This window comes from Homo sapiens, chromosome 2 (assembly GCF_000001405.40).
Source record: "Homo sapiens chromosome 2, GRCh38.p14 Primary Assembly".
Classification (NCBI taxonomy): domain Eukaryota; kingdom Metazoa; phylum Chordata; class Mammalia; order Primates; family Hominidae; genus Homo; species Homo sapiens.
This window is the reverse complement of record NC_000002.12, coordinates 165,882,879-165,897,857: the sequence shown is the minus strand read 5'-3', so window position 1 is coordinate 165,897,857 and position 14,979 is coordinate 165,882,879. Positions and strand designations below refer to the sequence as shown.

Below are 14,979 nucleotides of genomic sequence, written 5' to 3'. Positions count from 1 at the left end.
CTTCATTTGTCTCTGAGATCCTAAACTCACTCAGTTCTTCTTTTGCCCCATTGCCTGCTGTTTGAGTTTCCTTTTTTGGAGTTCTCTTCTCTGTATGACGTTTAAATATTAGAACACTCGTAGCTTCAGTTCCTGAACTCCCTTTCTTTTTATATATTCACCCCCTAGGTGACTTTGTCCAGGTGCGTGGCTTTATATCCCATGTATGTGCAGATGTGTCCTAAACATTTATCTGCAGCCCTTACTCATGTACACCTCTGCCTCTTTGCATTCCCACTCAGATGTCTAGGAGTAACTCAAGCTTAACATGTCCAAAATAGAACACCTGAACTTTCCCTCGCCTCTAAGTTTGCTCCACCCCCACCTCTCACCTCAGTGACTGGCATCACTGCTCACTGTTGTGCCGGCCCAGACCTCACAGTTAACCTTTGTCTCATCTTTCTCTCATATATCACCTCCAGTCTATCAGCAAATCCTTGTTAGTGCTACATTCAAAGTATACCTAGAATGCCATCACTTTTTACCACCTCTGTTAGTGCCACCCTGGTCTAAGGCATTGCCATCTTCCACATAGATTATTGCAGCGTCGTCATAACTCATCTGTGTTTCCATCCCTAGCCTATGAAGAATTTAGAAATACTTTCATTGAAAATGGCAGAGATACCCCTGAAAATTCTAGGCTAAAAATCACGGTTTTTAGTTTTCTCTCTGTAAAAGAAATGAAAAGTACACTGTGTAGGGACTGGTGTGGCGGTTCCACAGTATCATCAGGAAACCAGAGCCTTCTCTCTTTTTGTTCTACGTTGTTACCCTGACTTGCCTGAGCATCACCTCATGGTTCAAGATGACCACCGCAGTGCTGGGCATTGATGTTCCAGGGCCCAGGTGGGGAAGGTGGGTGCAGAGCTGGGCAAAAGGGCTTCCCAACCAGCAAATCATCGTTTTATTAAAAACAAAACAAACAAACAAACAAAAAAACCCTTAGTAGTATCACCTCCGTGGCTGCAAAAGAAGGTGGGAAATGTTATCTTTTAGCTGAATCTAATACCCTGTAGAATAAAATCAGAATTCTGATAGTAAAGAAGAAAGGGACAACAGAAACTAGGTAGGCAAAAGCCCAAGCCAATTACAGCCTTGAGCCTTTTTGTTTGCTGTTTCTACTTCCCGGAATATGCTGCTCCCACAGGTCTATCTGGCTGCTGCCTCATTTTCTTTTGTGCCTTTGCTCTGGTGCTGCTTCTTCCTTAGAATGCCCCTCCCTCACTGGCCTACATCAAGTAGCACCACTTCTTGCTCTCTGTCCCTTTATCCTGTTTTCTGTTCAGTTGAGTTTTTGGGGTTTGGCTTTAGGATTTTTGGGTTTTGTGTAGCCCTTGTGAAACAAAAGCAAAAAACTACAAATCATAGAATGGAAGCATCAAGTGACCAGAAACGTTGTCCTTCACTGCTGTGTTTCCAGAATTTAGAAGAATATCTGGCCTAGTTAGTACTCAACAAATACTAGATGGAAAGAAGAGTGAGGGAGAAAAGGAAGAAAGGGAAGCAGGGATGGAGGGAGGAGAGGAAAGAGAAAAAGAAAGAGGTGGGAACTGTTTGACTAATACATGACTGTATGTTACTACCTGTGTTACTAAAAAGAGTTTGAAATGGCAGAGGAAGTCCTAGAGCTGTGTTTCAGTTCTTCTAAACCCCACCACCTTCATCTCAGGCTGATGCCCTAGGCATCTGTGCTCAGAGCCTCAGAGACACAGAGGTGGCAATCCTTCAAGCAGGGCAACTCAAAGAACTAGATATGCTCTGCAGGCTACCTCTAGTAACGCTTTTAATAAAAAGATGTTTGAATTTAGAGAACATCAGTTTGTATTTAAAAATAAAATATCCCCAGCGAGCACAAAAATTGAAAGGAGAAAATATGGTCTGTTTTTTACAGTAATATCAACACTTTCTCTTTATTATTTTTACTCTTTGAGTTTTTTAATTAAATAAATTAAATTTATTTAATATGGGGACTACCACAGGCAATTTCATTTGTTTTTTGCCCTGTCTATTCCAGAGTATACTCAGATGTTATTTAAAAGAATGCTGTGAACTACTTGACCATCTCACCTCTTCCACTCACTCTGGGTCCAAAATATGGGCTCATCTTGCCACCCACATTGCCCAAACCTACTTTTATTTTCTTCAGGCCTGTATCGTTTTTTTCCCTGCCATTTCTACCTTGTGTTCCACACTGTTTTCTCTTATTCCTCTTCTCTAAACTACCATTTAAAAGTAATATACATAATATATTCATTCTATCTCAAGCTGTTCCCATTTCACAGTCTTTCCCTTTGAGACAATGATCTAACTTTATTTCTTTAAAAAACAGACTTCTTCCACTGTGAATATTTTAAGTCATTAAAAGTATTATAGTTTTCTAAGATTTGAAGAATCTCACACATTATAGTTTTCTAAGATTTGAAGAAGTCTTCATGTGTCTTGTGGGTTTTGTTTCACGTAAGTTTCTGTTGCTTGGCAGCAGCCTTTTTCCCAAAAAAATTGGCTTAGTAGACTGGCTGCTTTGGACTGTTTGTAAACAAATATAAAAGCAATTTTTTATAAATGCAATATAAGGATCTTGTACTCCAGCAACACCAAATGACATACAACCATGCTTCCAAGTCTTTGCTTGGGTTTTTTCCTTTTGCCTAAAATGAACTTTAGCTTCCTTATCCCTTTTCTCTTTCCAAACACATAATCTAAAATATATCCCTCTTGGGGGAAAATAAAAAAGTAAATCTGCATCCCACTACCACCACCTACATTAAAAAATGTCTTATGTGGTGCTGGGTAGCATGACCAACCATCCTAGATTTGCCTCGGAGCAAAGGGTTTTCCTGGATGCAGGACTTCCCATGCTAACAGAAAGTCACAGGCAAACTGGGATGAGTTGGTAACCCTAATCCTCGGTTACTTTGTCCATACGTCTTTATTACTTATAGTATTTTACTAAAAATATTTATGTGCATATTTGTGTTCTTTATTACACTGTAGACTCCTCGAGTTCAGGGATCACACCATATTCCCAATATCAGACAAAATGCCACACACATGGATGTGGCAACATAGATGTTTATTGGTTGAATGGATCAGTGAATGACTGTAAAACACCAAGTCAATTAAAAACACAGCAGGAGAATCGCTTGAACCTGGGAGGTGGAGGTTGCCGTGAGCCAAGATCACACCACTGCACTCCAGCCTCGGTGACAGAGTGAGACTTGGTCTCAAAAACAACCACAAAATTTTAAGTAAATTTTTATTGTCTATGTGATATTTTTAATCTTAAGAGTTTTTAATCTTGTGTTGTATGCTTTATTCTTACTAGTACCTTACATACTTATCCACAGATCTATTTTGTTGGAATTACTCTAAAACATGCATCTCCGTTCATTTTATGTGTACATTATTGGTTATCCTCAGTAACTCATCTTGTACTTTAGATTAAGGCTCTATTTTAGCTTATTTCAGAAATGTACCATACAAATTTGACCTAATTTAAGTAGTTGAAAAATTCCTCTTCTAGATCTAATTACTGCTCTCACGACAGATTGCCCCTTTTCTCTCTCAGAATCTCCAGATCGCCTTGAGCTTTCCCCTTCCTTCATACTAATTGGTTAACATGTCTCCTCAGCTCTGTTTGCTTGATAGCTAGCTAACACATCCAGTCTGTCGTATCCTAACCCACTGCTCTAATGAAGACCCTTATCACCTCTCATCTGAACTAGTGCAGATTCCCAACTCATCTTCCAGCTTCTAGGTTCTGGCTGCTCCAGGTCATCATAGGACTAGCATATCAGTTCTAAAAATCAAAACCTACCCTTTGCTTAAAATTTAAGTTAGTGCTTCAGGATAAAGTCTAAAATCATAGCATTATTTTAATAATAATATGGCCGCAAATTATTTGGCCATTTATATTTCTTATCCTTCTTCCTCCGCTTTAATAATATCAAAGTTACCAACACTCCCCACACTGTTCTCTGCTTCCCTCTTGGCGCATGCCTTCTGCTACTTGGAATGCCTTTGTCCGTCTAGTAAGATCTTCCTCCTATCCTTGAGGCTGCTCAAAGGTCAACTCCTATGTGAAATTTCCCAACTCCTCCAGGCAAAGTTAAGAATCCTGTGCTTTGTAATACCATACCATAGCACTGCATGCTTGCCACATCTCATCACCCTATAACTATTTTGATATCTTCCTACTATTCATCAATAAAGATGGACCAGCTAAGTTTTTTAGAAGGTAATATACATTTTAGTTTTTAATACATTTCTTAAGTGCAGAAATTTGCCTTCTGTCAAATGTCATGGTTAACCAAAGACAAGTGAATGTAATTTAATCTGTCACTGGTAATTATAACTTGAACTAATAATGAATACATTTCAATAGTATATAAGAAATATTCAAGAAATTGCCTTCCCAATGTTGATAATACTAGCAGTATCATGCAAAAAAAATTTAATCCGAAATTTTAACCTTTAGTTCTTGCTTAATCCAATATAGCTTCCAGATGCTGTGGCTTTATTATGGGGTAGTTACTCTATTTCTTGTCAACATTTTTGGAAGTATAAATATTATTAATAACATTTGTAATTTATAAATATTTTTCATGCCTTTATTTCTGTAGCACTCCTACAGTCAATATTATAATCCTATTTTAAGAAAATAAGTATATTGGACTCAAAGAATTTGAGTAATTTGATTGAATTCACATAGCTAAAGGACAAGACCAATATTTGAATTGTCTTTTTCTGAAACCATATTCTTATTGTGCCCTTTTTAGTGATGCTAAAAGGTGTGGTGAACAAAATCTCTGGACCCAAGATTGTGTGTCAAGGGGACAAATGATACTATCAGCCTGTATTAGTTTGACATCCTGTAATTAAGTAGATACAGTATTTCCAAAAGTCTTTTTTAAAGAATATTTTGTATTGTGGTGAAACATATATAACACAAAATTCATCATCTTAACCATTTTTAAGTGTACTGTTCAGTGGCATTAAATGCATTCGCATTGTTGTGTAAGTCATCACCGTTATCCATCAACGTTTTGCGTTTTTGCCATTCCAAACTGAAGTCTGTACACCAGTTCCTCGTTCCTCATTCCTCTTCCCGGAGCCCCTGGCAACCATCATTCTACTTTCTATGTTGATGAATTTATTCTAGGCACCTCTGTAAGCTGTATCACACAGCATTTTTCCTTTTGTGTCTGGCATATTTCACTTGGTATAATGTCTTCACAGTTCATCCATGTTGTAGTGTATGTCAAAATTTTCTTTTTTTATGGCAGACATACAATATACAATATTCCTTTATATGTACATACTACATTTTGATTATCTATTCAAACACAATGGACATGTGGGCTCTTTCCACTTTTTCTGTGTATTGTGAAGGTTGCTGCTATGAATGTTGGTGTACGAATACCTGTTTGAGTCTCTGCTTTTAATCTTTTGGGTATATACTCAGGAAAGTTGCTGAATTACATGGTGTCATCTCTTTTCAAATAGCAAAATAGAGTCAAGGATAAATAGCTTTAAAACAAGCTTTTTTGTTTGTGTGTTTTAATTGTAGAAATTCAACCTAAGAACATGTTCAGAATAGCTTATTTAAGGGTTTTTACAAGTCCCCTACAAATCCCTAGTCCTGTACTAACTGAAACTTGAGCACACAAACATCTAAAAGACACCACTATAAAGAAATAAATAATGTGAATCATCAGTAAGTAGGCCCTTATGCAACCATTAAAAATCACGTTTTAGAAGATTGTTTAATGACAGTTGGGAAATGTTAACTGTTTAATGTTCATCAAAATCAACATTAAAACCAATCAAAACCGATCAAAATCAAAACCCCAATGTGACTCCAGTTTTGTATATATTTAAATAAACATCTATTTTGTATGAATGTAAACAAAGAAATATCTTTGCTTACATTTATATATAGGTTGGTTTTCAAATATATGAAAGAAAGCACACCAAAATGTGCTAATCTTTAGCTGGAAATATGGTGATTTTTTTTTTCTTCATACTTTTTATATATATTTTCCTTATTTTCTGTAGTGTCTATACATTATTTTTGCAATCCTAAAAAAGATTTATTAAATTATTCTCAAAGCTTAGTTTGTTACTGATAAGAGAGAACTAGATAGAATTGGAAGAAGGCTTTCTAGGAACCTGCCAGGAAATTATACCTGAGATCAAAGGAATGAATGAATGAATGAATGAATGAATGAATGAATGAATGAATTTTTTTTAGAAGAAGGTGAAACAGGATTAAAATATGGGGACTAATATGCTAAGGTTCTAGTATGGTAAGCTAGCATATGGTATGTTAGCTACATGTACATATCAAAGAGAGACTGGAGAAAAATTTCTTATTGTCCATCCCATACATTATTTGTCAATTGTACTGTTCCCACACCCTTCCTAGCAACAGTATGTAGGAGAGGGGTTCTCAGAGACCGACAGTGAACTTGTCCTGTGCAATTAAATCGGTATTCCTGAACTTCACAGTTGAAAGTCTAGATTACCTAGGTAGGGGCTGTTTCTCTAAGGTTTTGGTCCCCCAAACAATAGAAAAGCTACAAGAAATATGCATTTTTCTAGATTTGCCTATGTAGACACTGTGACCAGCCTAGCCCAAACTGTATTATTTAGTAGATCATCTAGTTGGCCATACAGCCTCTATAGGGAATTATACCCTGAGGCATTTTTTATTTATATTTAAAATGTACTTTATATGAAGTAAATTATACTCTAATGAAGTAGAATTATAACCAACAAAAGAAACAGTATAAAATGGTGCCCATATCTGAAGTATTATTTGTTTCTAGATAATTATATGACATTATCTCGTTTGATTGATCTCCTAAGAAGATGTGGAAAACTCGAGGATGTCCCAAGATTTTTCTCAATGGCTGAGAAACGTAACTCCAGAGCAAAATTGGAACCAGGATTTCAGTATTGTAAAGGACTGTATCTTTGGTAAATCTATTTACAAATAAATGCTACATGATTTTTTTTTCTCATTGTAAATCAAGTAGAATAAGCTTTTCTTTGTAGTAAAAAAAAATGTACATTTCAAAATAATTCAACAGTTTTATTTACCAGACAGATTATAAACTAATATAAATTTTGTAGTCAGTGATTGAAATAAATAATTCTTTTAAACATCTAACAAGGTACACTGGAGAACCAAATGATGCCCTTCGACATTTTAATAAAGCTCGGAAAGATCGTGACTGGGGCCAAAATGCCCTTTATAATATGATAGAGATCTGTTTGAATCCAGATAATGAAACTGTTGGAGGTGAAGTATTTGAAAACCTGGATGGAGACCTGGGGTGAGTTATTTGACATATTATCCTTTTTTAAAAAACACTTGTTGGAGATAATAAACAGGGATACTATACAAAAGAACTAAATTTAGGATAGCAATAATGAAAGGTCAGATGAATAAATTAAATAAATAGGCATTTCATTGCCTGTTTCAGAGAATAGTTATTTTAGCAAATTGAATAGTTATTCAATAGAATAGTTATTGCTAATGTAACTATTCTGTGAAACAGGCATGAAATGCTTTTAGGTTTCCTAAATAATAATAGACATGCTATGAAGACACTCCCCTAATTGTAGAATTTGACAACTGTAGCAAAAATTATCCACACAATAATAGTAACTACTTAACAAATGGTAGTTATTTTCCAGACCCTGTCCTCTATACTTTCTACACACTATCTCATTTGTTTTCTATAACAGTATTGCAGAATAAGCTGAGTCAACTTGTTTAATGTGATAGTAATGATGGAGGCAAGATTTAGACTGAGTCCTGACTGCTGTTAGTGTGGTATACTGCTAGTCAATGGTTATTTATCAACCTGCATTAGTAGCTTGTCCTCTCTTCTGACTCAGGCAAGGCTTGTGGGGAATGTATTAGGACATAAAGGGAATATAAGAGGTAGTTTCTGTCTTCAGGAGTGTTTAATTAAGAGGCAAGACAATACCTGAAACCTTTCAATCTGCAACTAAATATAAATGGATTTAAATAGATATTAAGTATTGTCAGAGTTTATTAGGAATCATAGCAGTGCATAGTATTCAGGAGAAGATGCATGGAGGAGCTGGAGAAAATTAGTGGTAGATTGCCAAGAGATTTCAACAACAGATTTTAACGCTTGGATTACCGAGACCAGTTAGAGCAGGGAAGTGGCATGTTTATGGTTGTTTTAGGAAGGTTGAGGTAACATTACTGTTATGGAACTATAAGCTATTCAAGTGGAAATCTTCTTCAGGCAATTCAAAATACAAAACTAAAACTCAGAAAGAGAGGTCACAGCTAGGGATAGAGATTTGGGAGACATCTGCAGAGTGCATAGTTGGAACTCCATGAATGGTCTCTTTGTGAGTGGTAGAATGAAGTAACAAAAATCTGAGAACTAAATGTTAAGCTTGCTAACATTTAAGGGGTCTGGAGGAGGAAGGAAGGTCAGAAAAGGGCAATCAGCATGGTGAAAAGAGAACTAAAGCTGTGTAGTGTTACAGAAGCCAAGGGAGAAGAACTTTGAAGTGGTAGTCAACAGCGTGACATGTTTAGGCAAGATAAGCCTAAGGCCTGAGAAGAAGACCAGTGGCTTTAGTGATTGGACTTTGAGTGTTTAATTTCCTTTTATTAATTGATTTATGTATATTTATGTGCATGGGTTTGTGTGTATAAAATAAGAAAATTGCTATTAAATATTCAAATTGCACTTGAAATTACTGTTTGACACATATATAATTTCTGAGAGTCTGATAGGCAATGTGGTGAAGAGAACAGAGTAGATTTTATATGTCTGATAAGCTTAGATTCAGGTCCTAGGTTTACCACTTACTAGCTGTGTGACCTTTAGAAAATTACTTTACCTGTTCAAGCCTCAGTTTTCCTGTGTGTAAAATGGATTAAACATAGAATGAAATAATACAGTATTTGTCACTTTTTTCCTTTCCTTTCACTTTTTGAATAGATATATGTTAATTTTCTGATTCTACTTATAGTTTTATATTTGCTGGAATGCACACATTTACAACATGTAGATATTATCCAACTTTTGTCTTCATTCTAGAGGAAATTAATGCTTAATGGTGTTTTATTGAGTCCATATTAATTTTGTTTAAAATGCATTGTAACTGTGCTTCACTTTGTATTAGAAGAGAATGAGTGACATTCTTTACAAAAGATTACTTTTAAATGAGTGACAAAAAGAGTATAAAAGAGTGCCCAGAGCTTTTGTGTACAAAAGCTGATTCTAATCTCAATGAATTGTATCATGAGTAAGAGACAGAAGTGATTTATTTTTAATTATATACAGTAATTCAACTGAGAAGCAAGAATCTGTGCAACTGGCAGTAAGAACAGCAGAAAAACTTCTTAAGGAACTAAAACCTCAGACTGTTCAGGGTCACGTACAGCTTCGCATAATGGAAAACTATTGCTTAATGGCTACCAAACAGAAATCTAATGTTGAACAAGCATTAAATACCTTCACTGAAATAGCAGCATCTGAGGTTAGTGGATTTCCTTTTTCAGCTTCATGTGGTATCTTTATTTGGTAGTATAGAAACATATATTTTGATTAGTTGTTTATTTTCTGAAGATTGACTTAATTACTTAACTTTTATTAAAAATTAGGTATATAGTTGGGCATACACAATGTCCCCTTCTTGGCGGAAGAGACGATGTTACTGTTTTGTTGTGTTGTTGATATATTTCTCTCTACTGGAATGTTAAATTCTACAGAAACTGAATTCTTCAAAAGTATATAAGTTAATTCTCAAGGGAGCCACTTTATCCCCTGGAGAATTTCTGTGTTGTAGATGTAGCCAAGATTAACTTACTAAGTGGAAATAAACACCTGGCTGCCCTGATATCTTACTTCTTCACTTACATGAACTTGGAATTTTTCCAGCTATATAGCTACATGAGATCAATACTGATAGCTTATAATTTAGTCATACAAATAATGATATTCTTTAGCAACACTGAAATAACCTCCTGCAATCTTTTCATATTTGTTATTTTCATAGTATTATTTTATAAAATCAGAGGCTTTCTTCTCTTTTCACTGTGCTCGAATCCACCTTTTTTCCTTTTTTTTTGAGTCGGAGTTTTGCTCTTGTCGCCCAGGCTGGAGTGCAATGGCGCGATCTCAGCTCACTGCAACCTCCGCCTCCCAGGTTCGGGCAATTCTCCTGCCTCAGCCTCCCAAGTATGTGGGATTATAAGCGCCTGCCACCATGCCTGGCTATTTTTTGTATTTTTAGTAGAGAAGGGGTTTTGCCATGTCGCCAGGCTGGTCTCAAACTCCTGACTCAGGTGATCCGCCTATCTCGGCCTCCTCCACCTTTTTTCTTACTCTCTAGATACTGTTTTCCTTCCCTCACACAGCACTTTATTTCTTCAATTGCTTGATATTAAGAAAGGAATTCTAGATACCCTCCCATCAGCAGTTGGTAATAGTTACTTCTAAGCATACTCATTGAATTTCATGTTTGTTCTTCCATTCAATGATGCTGTAGGCCACTGGAAACTCATTTTATGTGTCTCAGAGAACATACAGAATTTTGCTGTGATTTCTTGTGATTCAGTAGTCACAGTGGCAGCAATAAACTACCCAAAGCCCTGGACAGTGATCTCTTTCCCCTCACCTTTTAGGGCCCTGGAGGAGATTGAGATGTCAGGGGTTTGGGAGACCTGCAACTCTTGTTGTGGCTTGGGTACAAGTATCCTAGATGGCAGCTTTATTATTGCGCTTGGAATAAAACAGCAGGACAGCATGGCAGCAGCAACCCTCCAAAGCAAGGCCCTTCTGCAGACATTGAAGTAATGTGCTCAGGGGTCATGCTCTGTTGAATTGGCTTTGTGGAGCAGATGGATGACAGCTGCTGAATGAAGGCAGAGCAGAAGTAGGGCAATCATGTACATCTAAGAGAATCTCTAGGAACATGAGGAAGCGCTTCTCATGTCAGGTGCCATAGCTACTGAATGCTGTGATGTGCTATTCTATCTCATAACAATGAGAAAGTTTATTTTGACTAAATCCGTTATCCCTACTGTGAAGTTTAAGAGAGAAAAAAAGCCAAAAGCAGTGAATGATATTACAGCTATTTCCTAGAAGGACTATGCCTGCTTTCTGTTGATAAGACTGTGTTATTTTTTTTAATCATCCTTACATATGTGGTTAGTAAAATACTATCTTCAGATCTGTTTACTAACCATATTATTCAAAAGACAATGATATATGAGCTGAAGTTTCATAAGCATCAAATTTTCTCACTTTTTTTTCTTTTAACTCCTAGGCTGCATGTATTCAATATAATGAATATTCATTAAGCAGCCAGCGAGTGCTAAGCATAGTGGGAAACACAAAGATAAATAATGTATGGTCCCGTTTTTCAAGTTTCTCATAGCCTATGGAAGACAAGACAAGCATACTGACTATGATGACTTAATACAAAGCAAAATGTGTTACATTCCATACTAGAATTGCAAATAAAAATGCTGTAGGAGACAGTATAAGGAGAGTTGGGAGACCCTTTTGTAAAGAAGGTATGATTTAAGAAAAAATAGGATTTAAGAAACAGGTATGATTGAAGAACCAAGATAAATTGCATTTTAACAGGCAGAAATGAAGACAATGTGTTTCAGAGGAAGAGGAAAATGTGAACAAAGTCAGGGAGGCAGAAAAACATAGGGTATGTTCACAATCCTATTTGTCATTCAGAGGGACCAAAAAAGAGGTATGTGACAAGAAATCATGGAAGAAATGCTGGAAGATACATTAAGCCCAAGCTGAAGTGTTTCCACTTGCTTTCATTGCATCACCTTGAACCATAAAGATGAGATGTTTATAATAACAGCTGTATTGTCCACATCCAAGTCTTGTCCTTTGCAATCTAAAGTTACTGCAATTTAGAGTTATTGAGAGACAGAGAAGTTGGCTGTAGGTCTTAGGATGTCTGCACCAGAAAAAAAGACCTAATGCAGGGATTAGAACTCAGGTTTGCTTTTAGAAACTGTTCTTCAGTTCACTCAGGAGTAATCAAGTTGTGAAGAACCGATACGTTCTAATCAAACTCAAAGTGTAAGAGAGGTTATTTTTAATTGTGTAGTGTAGAGGGAATGTGGGACCTTTTCATAGGACCCTCCTCCTCTTAGGCTGTGCTAGGACCTGGCTGACAAATACATAGCAGGCCTCTATCTTCTCTCCTCTCCTGGCCCACCTGAGGTGGGCTGAGGTGGGGAGAGGGTGAGGCTCAGTAATTGGTAACATCCCACACTTCTTCATAACCTACAACCAGTTGGTTGGATTTGACACTCAAACCATTTTGCCACCCCTTACCTAGAGGAACAGATTATATCTTGGAAGCTTATTGATAGATACAGAATTTGAGGCAAGGAAGTTTTTATATTTCTAAAAGCTGTTTTTATAAAACCCTGATGTATTGCCCTTCTCTATTCCAGAGTTATTTCTTACTTCCAAAGATCAGTTGGACATTGAACATTTTACCACTCTCCTTTTGCAGTATTCCTTATGAGTTACCCAAATTTGCTATCTTATAGTATACTTTTATTATAGTAATGGTATCACCGTTCCTCAGTCACAATTTCTTACCCTTTGTTTTTGTTTTTATTTTGAGACAGTGTCTCATTCTGTCTTCCATGCTGGAGTGCAGTGGCACGATCATAACTCACTGTGGCCTTGAACCCCCAGGCTCAAGAGATCCTCCCACTTCAGCCTCCTGAGTAGCTGGGACTACAGGGGCTGGCCACCACACTCAGCTAGTTTTTCTTTTGTATTTTCAGTTGAGGCGAGGTCTCGCTATGCACTAGCCTCAGCCTCCCGAAGTGCTTTGATTACAGACATGAGCTGCCCTCCTGGCCCCTTTATTTGTATGTTAAGCTGAGGCTTCTTTCTTTATAAATGCATCATAATCCCTCTGCTGAAATTTAGGAAGCATCCTACCTTAATCAGGAACATACACATTATTGCTTATGAAAGTTAGTTGTCTGGATAGATCACTAATGGCCTCCATTTTATGAGTTCTCATTAACCTATTGGTTTCACAGAGTGACATTCTCTGACTTCAAACTCTATCCAAAAGAATATCATATAGATTGTTTTAGGAAGCTGCAGACTCCAAATCTAAAAGCATATTTTAAGGCATGAGTTTATTTCATATACTTTCCAAGTGGTGAATTAATTATATGCCTTATTTTTAACATTTCGTTATTCAAACTTTATTGGGAGAAGAGGTTTTTGGATAAAAGGAGAAGGGAGGGGGAAAAAAAGCAATAGAAGTCATAATGGGTAAGGACCATCATCTGCAGGTAAATTATTGTTACTCGTCTTTGACAGGTGAAAGAACTAAGGAGCCTAAATGTTAAATCTGAAATACAAACTGCTCAATAAGGATTTTACTGAAATAGAGTTTTATTTTTTCTGTTTCTATACAAAACTAAAACATGACTGTTTGAATCCCATTAAAGATAAAGTCTCACTAATTCTTGGAATTGTGTGCATATGGCATCTGAATAGTTGTCATTATCTTCAATTATCTTGACCACACAGTGCTTGACCAAGTTTTCTTCATAGTAGCTTGAGGGTACTTGATGTGTTAAATAATGACCTGTAATCACAGTTATCTGTAATGGAGCTAGAAATAGAATCCACAAACTAGTTCTTATGTAGCATTTTCTGCTTTCTGTATGTTTTTGGGGCATTTATGTTTATGCATCTTATGGTCTAAAATTTTGTTTTCTTATAGAAGGAGCATATCCCAGCGCTCTTGGGAATGGCAACGGCTTATATGATCTTGAAACAGACTCCACGAGCCAGAAACCAGCTGAAGCGTATTGCGAAAATGAATTGGAATGCTATTGATGCTGAAGAGTTTGAGAAGAGTTGGCTGCTACTTGCTGATATTTACATTCAATCAGCAAAATATGACATGGCAGAAGACCTGTTAAAACGGTGCCTGCGTCATAATAGAGTAGGTGATTGAAGAGTAAAAAATAATTATTGACCTTTGTTGCATAAGCTTTCCATATAGATATTGTTGAGTGTTAGTCCATTTCCAAGGATTCCTGTGTGATTTTTGAAAATTAAATGTTTATTCTTACCACAATCAGGAAACAAGCATTAATAATAAGAAAAAAGCCATTTGTCCTTTAAAGTTTAAAAAAAAGAAAGATTTATGCAATTTCAAGTTTCAGCTGTAGTGATGCCCTACTTAACGGAAAGTGTTTTTGGAATGTCAAACGATTGCCTGTGATTATCCATCTCATCCCAGAACTAATGAAAATTGCAGAAGAACATTAATTGCGGACGTCTGTCCCTCCCATTAAGAAATACTCTTGATGAATTTACTGCAGCTGCATGTCATTTTCTCATTATTAGAATCTATTATGCATAATATATTTTGTGGGAGAAAATCTTTTCAGCTTTTAATTTCATTTGTTTAATAAAAATTCCTTATATTTAGGTATAAAATTGAATATTATAAAGTCCTTAGAATTTAAGGCTTTTTACTAACATTTTGATGTTTAATTACAAAAGATGTCATTATAACAGTTCTTTAAAGTTAAGATTTATTTTTTTGTTGAGAAATAATTGCACACAACTTAGAAATGATATTTATCTTCATATATTCATATCAATTACTTCAAAATCTTAATCACAGTAAATCTGTTTTATTCTCATTGAGCGAATTAGATTACAAATGGACCGTTTATTTTTTAAAGAGGAATTGTGATTATCTAGTACTATTAAGATACTTTCCTAGGAACTTAAGAACCTGAAAGATCCAAGCATTTGTCAATTTATGCACTATTCTAGACGATTAGCTACATAAATTTTATGTTAAATTGGCTTTGAAAAGCCGAATGCTCATTAATAGGCTTTGAAA

At 36.1% G+C, this 14,979-nt stretch overlaps 1 protein-coding gene across 5 annotated transcripts in view; it reads left to right on the top strand.

Moving 5' to 3' along the window:
• TTC21B (tetratricopeptide repeat domain 21B) overlaps positions 1–14,979 on the top strand; it is an 80,415-nt gene that overhangs the window by 55,919 nt on the left and 9,517 nt on the right. For 4 of the 5 annotated variants that reach the window (NM_024753.5, XM_047445870.1, XM_011511871.4 and 1 more), the window contains 4 exons: positions 6,870–7,020; positions 7,218–7,379; positions 9,384–9,579; positions 13,840–14,064. In NM_024753.5, coding sequence (NP_079029.3) covers positions 6,870–7,020; positions 7,218–7,379; positions 9,384–9,579; positions 13,840–14,064 — 734 coding nt within the window. Of the gene's footprint in view, positions 1–3,033; positions 5,580–6,869; positions 7,021–7,217; positions 7,380–9,383; positions 9,580–13,839; positions 14,065–14,979 lie in introns of those variants that run through there. The other variant, XM_006712761.2, reaches the window with a different exon arrangement.